The sequence below is a fragment of the Homo sapiens genome, chromosome 2 (assembly GCF_000001405.40).
Source record: "Homo sapiens chromosome 2, GRCh38.p14 Primary Assembly".
NCBI classification, from domain to species: domain Eukaryota; kingdom Metazoa; phylum Chordata; class Mammalia; order Primates; family Hominidae; genus Homo; species Homo sapiens.
Window position 1 is genome coordinate 135,969,728 of NC_000002.12, and position 14,233 is coordinate 135,983,960.

At 36.6% G+C, this 14,233-nt stretch overlaps 1 protein-coding gene across 2 annotated transcripts in view; it reads right to left on the reverse strand.

Annotated features, from left to right (window-relative positions):
- DARS1 (aspartyl-tRNA synthetase 1) overlaps positions 1 to 14,233 on the reverse strand; it is a 79,804-nt gene that overhangs the window by 63,847 nt on the left and 1,724 nt on the right. Inside the window, exons 2-3 of one of the 2 annotated variants that reach the window (NM_001349.4) lie at positions 13,670 to 13,727; positions 9,547 to 9,639 (exon numbers count right to left, since the gene is read on the reverse strand). In NM_001349.4, coding sequence (NP_001340.2) covers positions 9,547 to 9,639; positions 13,670 to 13,727 — 151 coding nt within the window. The remainder of the gene's footprint in view (positions 1 to 9,546; positions 9,640 to 13,669; positions 13,728 to 14,233) is intronic. The other variant, NM_001293312.1, reaches the window with a different exon arrangement.

The window sequence follows — 14,233 nt, forward strand, 5'->3', positions numbered from 1 at the left end:
TGATTCTTGTTATTTATAGAAGTTATGCTCTGTAAAGCTGCCACAATACTGAATTAGGGCATACTGAATCATTGCTCCTGAGGGAAGTTTAGGGTTAGGTTTCTTCACGCTTATGGTCACAATATTTTTGCCAACTGATTAATACATAACCTTCTTTTGTGTGTGTTTCTGTTTAAAGATACCTTAATATATATTGGTGAGCCATTAACACTTAACTCATGGCCAAGGGCACTGTAACTCATGCCTAAACAAAGCATATCTAAACACAGGTATTTTCTTCTTAAGGGAACAGCACAGTCTTCTTGTGCTTCCGAACTTTAGAAACATTTGAGAACCATACTTGGGGCCATTTTAAAAGGCAAAAGCAAGCTGGGCACAGTGGTGCATAACTACAGTCGCAGCTACTTGGGAGGGTGAGGCAGGAGGATTGTATGAGGCCAAGAGTTGGAGGCTGCAGTGCGCTGCAATCATACCTGTGAATAACCACTGTACTCTAGCCTGGGCAACATAGTGAGACCCTGTCTCAAAAAAAAAAAAAAAAAAAAAAAAGAGCCCATTAAGCATCTTCTTGGACCACAACAGAATAACACTACAAATCAATAATGAGAAATTCTGGAAACTATATAAACACATGGAAATTAAACAATATGCTCTGGGATGACCAGTGGGTCAATGAAGAAATTAAGGAAATCAAAAAATTTCTTGAAACAAATGATAATGGAAACAACATGCCAAAACATATGGGATACAGTGAAAGCTGTACTAAGAGGAAAATTATAAGTATCTACCTAAAAAAAGAACTTCAAATAACCTAACAATGCATCTTAAAGAACTAGAAAAGTATAAACTGAACCCAAAATCAGAAGAACTAATAAAGATCAGAGCAGAAATAAATGAATTTGAAATAAAGGAAACAATATAAAAGATCAATGAAACAAAAAGTTGGTTTTTTGAAAAGATAAACAAAAATGACAAGCTTTTAGCCAGACTAAGGAAAAAAGAGAAAAGACCTAAATAAATAAAATTAGAGATGAAAAAGGAGACATTACAACTGATACCATAGAAATTCAAAAGATTAGTGGCTACTATAAGCAATATATGCCAATAAGTTGGAAAATCTAGAAGAAATGGACATTTCTAGACACATACAACCTACCAAGATTGAACCATGAAGAAATCCAAAATCTGAGCAGACCAGTAACAAACAACAAGATTAAAGCCGTAATAAAAAGTCTCCCAATAAAGAAAAGCCCAGGACCTGATGGCTTTACTGCTGAATTCTACTAAACATTTAAAGGACTCACACCAATCCTACTCAAACTGTTCCAAAAAACAGAGGAAGAGAAAATACTTCCAAACTCATTCTAAGAGGCCAGTATTACCCTGGCACCAAAACCAAAGATAGATCAGAAAAAGAAAACTACAGACCACTATCTCTGATAAATACTGATGCAAAAATCCTCAACAAAATACTAGCAAACCAAATTCAACAATACGGTAAAAAGATCATTCATCGTGACCAAGTGGGATTTATCTCAGGGATGCAAGGAGGTTCAAAATATACAAATCAATCAATGTAATACATTGTATCAACAGGATGAAGGACAAAAGCGATATGATCATTTCCAACTGATGCTAAAAAAGCAGCTGATAAAGTTCAAATCCCTTCATGATAAAAACCCCCCAAAAACTGGGCATAGAAGGAACATACCTTAACATAATAAAAGCCATATACGACAGACACACAGCTAGTATTGTACTGAATGAGGAAAAACTGAAATCCTTTTCTCTTAGATCTGGAACACGACAAGGATGCTCATTTTCACCACTGTTATTCAACATAGGACTAGAAATCTTAGCTAGAGCAATCAGATAAGAGAAAAAAATAAAGGGCATCCAAATTGGAAAGGAAGAAGTAAAATTATCCTTTTTTGTGGATGCTATGATCTTATATTTGGAAAAACCTAAAGACTCCAGCAAAACCTATCAGAACGGATAAATTCAGTAATCAGTAAAGTTGAAGGATACAAAATCAACATATAAATGTCAGTAGCATTTTTCTATATGCCAATAGTGAACAATGTGAAAAAGAAATAAAAAAAAGTAATCCCACATACAATAACCACAAATAAAATTAAACACCTAGGAATTAACCAAAGAAGTGAAAGATCTCTAAAAACTATAGAACACTATTGAAAGAAATTGAAGAGGAAACACAAAAAATGGAAAGATATTCCATGTTCATGGATGGGAAGAATCAATATTGTTAAATACTACTCAAAGTAATCTACATATTCAGTGCAATCCCTATCAAAATGCCAATGACATTCTCCACAGAAATAGAAAAAAAAATCCTAAAATTTACATGAAATCACAAAAGACCTAGAATAGCCAAAGCTATGCTGAGCAAAAATAATAAAACTGGAGGAATCACACTACTTACCTTCAAATTATACTACGGAGCTATAGTAACCAAAAACAACTTGGTACTGGCATAAAAACAGACACACAGACCAGTGGAACAGAAGAGAGAATCCAGAAGCAGATCCACACATCTACAGTAAACTCATTTTTGACAAAGGTGCCAATAACATACATGGGGGAAAATAGTCTTTTCAATAAACGGTGCTGGGAAAACTGGATATCCATATGCAAAAGACTAAAACTTGATCCCATCTCTTACCTTATATAAAAATCAATCACAATGAATTGAAGACTTAAATCTAAGACTTTGAACTATAATACTACAAGAAAACATTGGGGAAACCCTCTAGGACACTGGTCTGGGCAAAAATTTCTTGAGTAATACTCCACAAGCACAGGCAACTGAAGTAGAAATGGACAAATGGGATCACATCAAGTTAAAAAGCTTCTGCACAGTAAAGGTAACAATCAACAAAGTGAAGAGACAACCCACAGAATGGGACAAAGTATTTACAAACTACCCATCTGACGAGGAATTACTAACCAGAATACATAAGGAGCTCAAGCAACTCTACAGGAAAAAAATCTAATACAATTTTAAAATGGGCAAAAGATTTAAATAGACATTTCTCAAAAGAAGACATACAAATGGCAAAAAGGCATATGAAAAAGTGCTCATCATCACTGATCTTCAGAGGAATGCAAATCAAAACTACAATGAGGTATCATCTCCTTTCAGTTAAAAAGGCTTATATCAAAAAGTCAAATAACAAATGCTGGTGAGGATGTGGAGGAAGGGGAACCCTGGTACACTGCTGGTGGGAATGTAAATTAGTACAATCACTATGTAGAACAGTTTGGAGGTTCCTCAAAAAACTAAAAATAGAGTTACCACATGATCCAGCAATCCCACTGTTGGGTATATACCCAAAAGAAAGGAAATCAGTGTATCGAAGAGATATCTGCACTCTCATGTTTACTGCAGCAGCATTCACAACAGCCAATATTTGGAAGCAACCTAAGTATCCATCAACAGATGAATGGATAAAGAAAATGTGCTACATATACACAATGGAGTACTATCCAGCCATAAAAAAGAATGAGATCCTATCATCTGCAACAACATAGATGGAACTGGAGGTCATTTTAAGTGAAATAAGCCAGGCACAGAAAGACAAACATCGCATATTCTCACTTACTTGTGGGATCTTAAAATCAAAACAATTGAACTCATGGATATAGAGAATAGAAAGATAGTTAACAGAGGCTGGGAAGGGTAATAGGGGTTGAAGGTGGGGGGCCCTGGGAAAATTAATGGGTACCAAAAAAAAAAAGAATGAGTAAGACCTAGTATTTGATAGCAGAACAGGGGGACTACAGCCAATAATAATTGTACATTTAAAAATAACTAAAAGAATGACTGGGTGTCGTGGTGGCTCACACCTGTAATCCAAGCACTTTGGGAGGCTGAGGTGGATAGATAGCTTGAGCTCATGAGTTTCAGACCAGCCTGGGCAACATGGCAAAACCCCATCTTTACAAAAAAAATGAAAAAATAAAAAATAAAAATTAGCTGGGCGTGGTGACATGTGCCTGTAGTCCCAGCTACTCAGGAGGCTGTGGGAGGATGGCTTGAGCCTAGGAGCCACAGGTGCAGTGAGTTGAGATCACACGGCTGCACGCCAGCCTGGGCCATACTTGTCTCAAAAAATAAATAAAATTTAAAAAATAAAAATAATTAAAAGAATATAACTGGATTGTATGTAACACAAAGAATAAATGCTTGAGGGGATGCATACCCAATCTTCTATGATGTGATTATTACACACTGCATGCCTGTTTCAAAATATTTCAAGTACCTCATAAATATATACACCTATTATGTACCCCAAAAATATATACACCTACTATGTACCCACACAAAAGTTTTTAAAAGTCCTTTTTTAAAAGGCATAAATGTGGCATTAAAGAGACTGTGAAAGGGACGCTTATTTACAGTATGAGAGCTGAAACAAGAAGGCAGAACATTACTGTGTTTGACTTTAATTGGGAATGTGTGTACTGGATGACGCAAATACTCTGCCACTCTGCACATGTACAGGTCTGGCATGACTGAGAATGACCACAAAAGTGCTGCAAGTGTTCTGGGGTTATAAATACATTTTAGCCAGTAGGTGAATTTGCGAATATGCAGTCCACGAATAATGAGGATCAACTACGTTAAAATTTATTTTATTACACAGAAAATTTCCAACAAACACAAAAGCAGAGTGAATAGTATAATGAACCTCTCTACATATACATCACATAACACAATTATATTTTGAAGGGAAGAAATGCTAGAAAAAGGTCTGATAAAATTCAACATCTCCTCCTGACAAACAGAAAACTTGGCTGGGAAACTACTTTTAATCTACTTTTTAAAACTTTGCCATTTATTTTCTAATGACATTTTATGTAGAACCTTAAACTCAAAATCATTCATTTAGAACTGGAATTTCTGCTCTTTCAAAAATTCTTCATTGTGTGAATCCCTGAAGTACTAGAGAACCTACTAGTATTGCAAAGAGAAACAAGAAATGAGATACAAACATTTGAAAGAAAAGGACATAATGATCATCATTTGTAATGCCTCTCTTCGCCTCAAAAAACTGAAATGCAAACAGACTTGGAGAAAATTATTTGTTCTTTTTTAATAAAATAGGAACAGGGCAAGAACAAACAATATATAAAAGAAGTTCAAAATAGTTAACATATCAGGAAAAGAAGTTTAATCTAACCAATGACTGAAACACAAATTAAAGCAACAATGGATAAATCTGAACTTTATACAAATGAGAAAAATAAAATATATGTAAAAAAATATAGCCATACTATGAAATACTATGAAACCATTAAAAAACAATGATGCGGCCGGGCATAGTGGCTCACGCCTGTAATCCCAGCACTTTGGGAGGCTGAGGTGGGTGGATCACAAGGTCAGGAGATCGAGACCATTCTGGCTAACATAGTGAAACCCCGTCTCTACTAAAAATACAAAAAAATTAGCCGGGCGTGGTGGCAGGTGTCTGTAGTCCCAGCTACTTGGGAGGCTGAGGCAGGAGAATGATGTGAACCTGGGAGGCGGAGTTTGCAGTGAGCGGAGACTGTGCCACTGCACTCCAGCCTGGGCGACAGAGCGAGACTCTGTCTCAAAAAACAAACAAACAAAAAAAACCTATACGCACAGACATGAAAAGATATCCAAAAGATAAAGAAAAGTGCAAGTTATAAAATAATACAGAGTATTATAAAAATTTTAGCTCAAACACACATATACACTCACATTGACCCTCAACTTCCTCATAAAAACAAATCTGAGGCTGGGTACAGTGGCTGAAGCCTGTAATCCCAGCACTTTGGGAGGTCGAGGTAGGCAGATCACCTGAGGTCAGGAGTTTGAGACCACCCTGGCCAACATGGTGAGACCCTTGTCTCTACTAAAAATACAAAAATCAGCTGGGCATGGTGGCGCATGCCTGTAGTCCTAGCTAAGGAGGCTGCAGTGAACCGAGACCACACCACTGCACTCCAGCCTGTGTGACAGGGCAAGACCCTGACTCAAAAAAAAAAAAAAAAAAGCCCTCATCTCTACTAGAAATACAAAAATTAGCTGGATGTGGTGGCAGGTACCTGTAATCCCAGCTACTTGGGAGGCTGAGGCACGAGAATTGCTTCAACCCAGGAGGCAGAGGTTGCAATGAGCTGAGATTGCCTCACTGCACTCCAGCCTGAGTGACAGGGCAAGACTCCACCTCAAACAAACCAACCAAAAAAACCCACAAATCTGTAAAGAAGGATTACAGTCAGTTTTCCACTTTATACCTGATTTAATTCTATAATGCTTGAGTATTTAACAAAAAATGGTTATTACTTTTATAATCTAGAATAAATTTTTCAATTTTGCAAATTAAAAATATTGTAAATGATCATGTAGAGCTACATAAAACACTGATACAGCATATGAACTCACTTTTGTAAAAGAAAAAGTATCAATTTTTGTTTAAAGCAATTTCTATCATTTCAAACTTTCACAGTGTTTTTATTCTCTTGGGAGCAGAACAAGTGAATTACACTTTCTGCTTTATTCTTTAGTTTTTGTGCTGTTTGAGTTTTAAAATAGTGCAATTAGCATTTAGCCCCTCCAAAATTCCCCAATACCCATAAATAATTTATTTTTTTGAGATAGAATAACAGTTAATATACTAATAAAAAGTGCTATGAAATTCCTCAATTAAAAACTCTTAAGAAAGTTTTAAACCGTTCAGTCTGTTCATAACATTGACACTCATAAATTCTCCCTATCCACCCACCATGATTAGCTCATATCATCAATAAAGTCCTTACACCTTGCAATTTGTTTCATGTTTTGAGGCAGGAGGCACTATCAATTAAGAGACTAAAATAATTTGTCACAAATGGAAAAAAAAACACTAGCAGATGGTACAGGAAGAACATTCTCAAATCCGAAAATGTGCAATGTTTCAAAATCCAAAAACTTTTTGAGTGCCGACATGACTCTCAAAAAACATGCTCATTGGAGCATTTTGGATTTCAGATTTGGGATGCTCAGCCAGTAATGCAAATATTCCAAAAAAAAAAAAAAAAAAAATCCAAAATCCAAAACACTTCCAGTCCCAAGCATTCTGGATAAGGGATACTCAACCTGTATATTTTTTCACTTACGTGATGCTTCATACTTACATGCTGATCTCAATTAGAGTGAGCTACTGGACAGCAAGAACAAGACCCAGAAGACAATGCTCTATTATATGTGTATAAAACACCTGTTTTATTCATCTATTATTCGGTAGGGTTCTTATTATGTGTTGTGTACCAAACAAAGCAAGAAAATAAGCAGTAGCACCTTCCAAGAGCTGACAACAGGAAATAAGACCCACAAAAAACTACGATGGAAGGCAAGTAAGTAACTGTCATGCTCATTAACATGACTCAATTATCGAAGGCTTACACTGCACCAAGCATAGAGCTAAATACTTTATAAATATTACTACATAACATCTTATAAGCTAGGTATTAATATATACTTGTTTTAAGAGAAGACACTGAGGATTGGAAAGGTTATGCAATTTGCGTAGAGTAAACAGATTGTAAGCACAAATCCAGGATTCAAACACACATCTGTCTCACTGAAAAGGTCTTATTCATAACCACTGGGAAGTATCACTCATGAGTTTTAACTGTTAAGAAGAAACAGACATGGCAGTCGTAAAATAAAGGGATGGGTGTGAAGGGAAATATTCTTGGTTCAGGCTTACTTGTAGCATGCATTCTATCTTTTAATTTGCTAAATTACTATGTTTAGGAAAAAGTGCCCCATTTGGACAGAACAAAGGCTCTCAGTATAACGGGAGAGAGACGAGTAAATGAAGGATTATAATACAATGTGACTGACTATTGGCAGAATAAATGGCCCAACCTTTCAGGAAGGCAAATCAACATTATTTGAAAATTTAAAACTCCACCAGTACTCTTCTCAAAGTCTGTCAGTATTCATCAGGGGAGGATACTGAAAGAATAGACAAACTCTTAACAATGGTGGCCCTAAGAGTGAAATGTATGTATAAAGTGCTGGAATTTTAAAAATAATGGGCATGTATTAATTCTACAATAAAAAAATTATAAAACACAATTAAGAAATGCTCTATCGGCTGGGTGCAGTGACTTATGCCTGTAATCCCAGCACTTTGGGAGGCCAAGGCGAGAGGATCACCTGAGGTCGGGAGTTCAAGACCAGCCTGGCCAACATGGTGAAACTCTGTCTCTACTAAAAATGCAAAACTTTGCCAGGCATGGTGGCGCATGCCTGTAATCCCAGCTACTTGGGAGGCTGAGACAGGAGAATCACTTGAACCCTGGAGGCAGAGATTGCAGTGAGCCGAGATCGCAACACAGCACTCCAGCCTGGGTGACAGAGCAAGACTCTGTCTCAAAAAAAAAAAAAAAAAAAAAAAGAAAAAAAGAAAAAAGGAAAGAAATGCTATATATCATGGGACATATTAAATACTATAGAAGCAAAGTAGAATTTTTAAAATAATGGGCATGTATTAATTCTACAATAAAAATATTATAAAACACAATTAAAAAATGCTATTATCATGGGACATATTAAATACTACAGAAGCAAAGAACTCTGCTAAAGAGACGGAGATGTCTTAGAAAGCTTCTAGCTTCTGTTTATACTCCACCAATTACTATGAGACTTTGGGCAAGTAGCTTCATTCTGAACGTGTTTCCTCATTTATAAAGTGGAATAGGAATGCTTGTTCTGCCTACTTCACAAACTTGCAGGGATGATCAAATGTGAAAAAGTATGAAAAGTATAAAGTTATAAACTAGTGTGTCAATTGATATTTTTAGACAATTCTGAACACTACAGTAGGCCAATTTTCTATAAGAACAGGGTCTGTCTAAATGATCCTAACGTTTCTTCTCTGTTGTTGAGGCTAAATTTTTAGCACTGTCTGAAAGAACTTTCTATGATGAGAATATTCTGTATTTGTGCTGTCTGTCCAAAATGGGAGCCGTTAGCCACATGTGGTCATTAAGCTCTTGAAATACAGCTAGTGTGACGGAATTACTGAATTTAAATGTAAATAGCTGCATGTGGTCAGTGGTTACTGTATTGAATTGCCCAGTCTTATCTTTTGTTCACTTCTCTCCTCATCTAGATAATTACAAATATAAAAATATTAACAAACGGGAAGTTTCTCAAAAACACTCTTCACTTAAATAATTAAAGTTTACTCTTTTTTTTCAATTTTTTTTTTTTTTTAGCTACTCCTTCTCCAGCTGAAAATAATTAAACTTTAGAGCGATGCTAGAAAAGTAGCTTGAAGTCTTAGATTTCATCAGTCTTTAGGGTCAAATTATTTGTAAGGATGTTTTACAGGAATCTAAAATTGATTAACCATGGGTTAATACTTTACAGTGACTTTTAAGAAAGAAAAGTTACATGTTTTTGTTTTGTTTTTAAAGATTTACTTTGGTCTGTGAGGAATATGTAAGACAAAAAATTCGGAGTCCTTACCGAAAGAGCTTTAATAATGAAACCAATCCTACCTTTAGCTCTGCTTGTATGAACTCTTGCACGTACCCAAACAACTTCATCAGCTTTTTGTATTGTCAAGTCTCTAACCCGAACCAAAACTCGATCTGTAATAACAGTAAACGATTTTTATATAGTAAAATAATTTTTAAATTCAGAATTTACAAAGAGATCATAATTATTTTTGACAGCTAGCATAAGTACTTGGAACCATCCTGAATAATTCTCAATCTTTGACAACACTGTCTTCTCTATCATGTTCCATGTGCAATTTGCCTCAAGTTTTGTGAACTGTGCTTTCTAAACATATTTTTAAAATCCGTCTATTTCTCTACCATCTTCACTGCCGCCATACTAAACCAAGCTATTGTCTCCCACCTGAACTACAGCAATAGCTTCCTAACTGCAATCCCTGTGTCCCCTTCTAATTCAGTCTCCTTTGAAGTCAGACAGTTTCAAAATGCAAATCTGAACACTTCAATGACTTGTAAGGCCAAACACAGCCTATCCTGCCTAGGACATGGAACTTTTGCCTGCCTGCCACAGTACCTAAGTCAGCTAGTCTCTACCAAGTCTGAACAGTCGCAGTATCCTATTCCCCAGGATGCAGTGACTCTAACTGAGCTAATGCAAGTCTTTCTCTGGGACTAAATATACAGATGCTGGGAATGAAGCTCTCTTTCCTGGGATTGCTGCGCTGACATGGTGCAGGCCCAGGGCTGCAGCTTTCACCTTTCCTGCTATGTTTGCAGGATTCGAGAAGGAGGCCAATATCCTAAAGGAAACAGAGCCAAAAGCTGGAGAGAGAAAGGCCTGTAGATGCTTCCTGAGCCCCAAGATCCAATCATGCTTGATGTCATCTCATACATTTCCCTATCGAGCCTTTTGGCTGTAAGTGAGCCCCAACTATTATGCTCCTAATACTAAACAAAATACTACATTCATCTAGAGTTCCTAAACAGGAAAACAGCTACAAAACAACTGTTATGTAAAGATGTGTATACAACGCAACATTCAACAATCATTTTTGCTACTCTTCTAAATGCAATCATTTGATTAGAGAAAAACATTTAAGTATTAGTTAAATTAAACATAGCAATAGACATGACATTACAATATCGAGAATACCTTTTGAGACATAAAGTCAAATTATAAATACTGTATGTCTTACCGAATTTTTCTAAATGTATTTATAATTTGCCTATTGAAGAAAAGATGCAGCTGCAGAGAGAATCTGATTTACAGGAGAATAAATAACACGGTTCTCATAGCCAAAAGCAAAGAGAATGAAAGAGGAATTTTAAAGCCACTGGCATCACAAGAGGATTTCTGCAAAACACTGCCAACAGACTTTATGAGTTAAGCCAACTTCCAAGTCTGCTGTGTAAACTCAGGCAAAAGAAAGCGTGAAAGAGAAAAGACAGACACATCAGCAGAAGATTTTAAAAGGCAGATTTGAAAATGCCAAGACTGAAAAAGCAATGGCTAACCAAGCAATCACAACTCAAAACCACACAAAACAGAAAAGCAGAAGTCTAAGAGATATGCGATAATTAGGATAATTTTACTAGCACTTTGGAGAAGAAAAAGGGTAATGGCTCTTCTTTCTTGTGGCATGGCAATTAACTAGCATAGGGGTTCTCAACCTTTAATACACCCGAACATACCCGAAGCCCATGCCATACTCACATCACTATGACTGGCTAACCAGTAACAACCAAGGTAGTAGGATTTCAGTTTGAAAACTGCACTTTTAAGAGTCATGGGCATCAGAGTGATTAATGCAGAGAAATGGAAGCAGATGAGAAAGGAAACCACCTTGAGCAAAGAATTGGCATTTTTGCAGAGGTAAAACCAAAGGCCGAATTTTACATACATAGGTTATCTTTCTCTCTAAGTGGAAGAACGCAACTGTCTGTGGATTTGCCAGCAAAAGAACAACAGCAATTATGTTAATGGCTGCTTTGGGCCTATGTTAAAGACCTAAACTCCAGTGAGCTTCTTTGTGTTACAGCTCAAGGAAGTACAGTTGAGAAAGACACCTAACCTGAAAACAAAGTCTCAAGTGTCTCCTCCTGCTTGCCCTGGCAGAGGAATATCATCCCCTATACTCTATTGCTCATAGTCTATTTTACATAGGTTGAGCATTCCTAACCCGAAAACCCGGAATGCTCCCAAATCCAAAACTTTTTGAGTGCTGACATGATGGTCAAAGGAGATGCTCATCGGAGGATTTTGGATTTTCAGATTAGGGATGCTCAAGTGGTAAATATAATGCAAATATTCCAAAGTCCAAAAAAATAAAGTCCAAAACACTTTTGTGGTCTCAAGCATTTTGGCTAAGGGATACTCAACCTGTACTCAATTACTTTATTTCATCTTTATGTTTTGGAAATGATTTTCAGAAATTTTGGCTTTTTTTTTTTTTTGACAGGGTCTCACTCTGTTGCCCAGGCTGAAGTCCAGTGGTGTGATCGTGGCTCACCGCAGCCTTGACCTCACAGGCTCAAGTGATCCTCCCATCAGCCTCCTGAGTAGCTGGGATAAAAGGTGTATGCCACCACGCCTAGCTAATTTTTTTACTTTCTGTAGAGATGGGGTCTCACTATGTTTCCCAGGCTAGTTTCAAATTCCTGGGCTCAAGTGATCCTCCCAACTCAGTCTCTGAATTTTGGTCTTTTATTGTATTCTTTCCCAACAAGCCTGGGAAAGAAAAGTGATTTTGTGATCATGTGGCAAATCAAATATAACAATAAAATTAACCTAGAGGTGTTTTATTTCCAAAGCATAATATTCATAGGCAGCCCTCTAAACTGGAAGCAGTGCTTCCAATGGGCAAGAATGTAAACGTCTACAATTACTGCACCAAAGAGTGAGAGACGTAATTTGAAGTGTCTACCAAAAGAAAAATTACTGTCAAATAGTTAAGTAAGACAAATCTGTTGAAATTACATATATAGAATAGAAGTAAAAGAAAGGCAAACATTTATAAATAAAAAATCTACAGGTCTGAGAGAAACAACATGAGTCAGGTCAATTTCAAAGAAATATAAGGCCGGGTGCGGTGGCTCACACCTGTAATCCTAGCACTTTGGGAGGCCGAGGTGGGTGGATTGCCTTGAGTTCAGGAGTTCGAGATCAGCCTGGGCAACACAGTGAAACCCCATCTCTACTAAAATACAAAAAAAAAGTGAGGCGTGGCGGTGTGCGCCTGTAGTCCCAGCTGCTCAGGAGGCTGAGGCAGGAGAATTGTAGGAACTTGGGAGGCGGAAGTTGAAGTGAGCCGAGATCATGCCACTGCACTCCAGCCTGGGCGACAGAGCGAGCCTCTGTCTCCCAAAAAAAAAAAAAAGAAATATAAAGATGCCAACATACACTAACAAAAAAGAGCGGTTATAAGAAAAGATAGACTGGGGTCTAAGAATAATTCATTTCATTCCCAGACACTAAAGCTACGAGTAAACAAAATGGAGTGGGGGTGGAGGCTTTAAAACTCAAATCATAGTACTGCCAAAGAAGCCAGAGAAGATGTAAGATGGAAGGACCCATGGACTCTAGGGTCAGATGGCCTTTGGTTCTAATCCCAAGTCTGGCAGACTCTGTGTAAGTCAAGTTTCTTATCTTTCAACTTTGGTTCCTTAGTTTTCAAGGATGCTGTAGAGAATAAGTGAAAATATAAATGTTTGGGAAGAGTCAAGCAAAATAGGAATAAATAATAGCTAAAAACAGTCAGAGAAGTAAAGTTGTGGGGGTTGGGGGAAGTAAAAGAGGTAGCTTTATTAAAGCATGCAAAAAGGCTACATGTGATGAAGGCAGTTATTAGCCACTCTCCTATCTCCTAGACAACGGTTGAATCTTACCTAATAATTTAGGAATATTTAAAAAATATAATCTACCATTTAAAACATACCATTTAACCTACAATACCTAATAACATTTTTTTTCCTTTTCTAGAGTTGGAACCCTAAACTGACAATGTTTACACAGGGTTATGACATCTACTTGGATTATTAATGTCATTTAAGCTTTTCAGAATTATACCTTCAGATTTATGCCAACCTTACTTAAAATTTCATTTAGAGCTTTCCTGGAATTAGAAAGCAAAAAAGCTTTATTTACTGTCACATAGCTACTAACCTGGTTTTTCTTGTGATTGTATCATTGAAGATATTCCATATCTCTCTTTAGCATAATCCTACAAAAAAAGTTTTTTGCATCGTGACTTTTTATGTAAACACTAAGAGCACAGTAAACACATAAATACTAATAATAGAATATAAAAATGAATTTAACTTTCAGGATCATTTTATTAATTCAGAAAGTCAGTAGTTTCATAATGTGGAAATCTCTCATTCATTTACATATGTACTCTACAGAAAACAGAAAAGTACTGTTTCTGGTTAGTTTGTTTTGAAGATCACCACTCCTAGATGGATTTACCATACTTAATAACATTCTCAGATAAAATTTACACATATGTACAACACATCTTAACTACCTTCTTCAAAAAGATGAAACTACTTCAAAGCAGGGACATAAATTTCCTCTGTGAAGGGAGTAGGATGAAGTACCACAGTTTTATTAACTTCCTATTACAGGAAGAAATGTTCAAAGAGAACCAACGTTTTGGGTAAGCTTTCTGAGCACCAGATGTCCACAGTTTTTAGAAACTGGAGATGCTGGGTATAAGCTAACTACAAC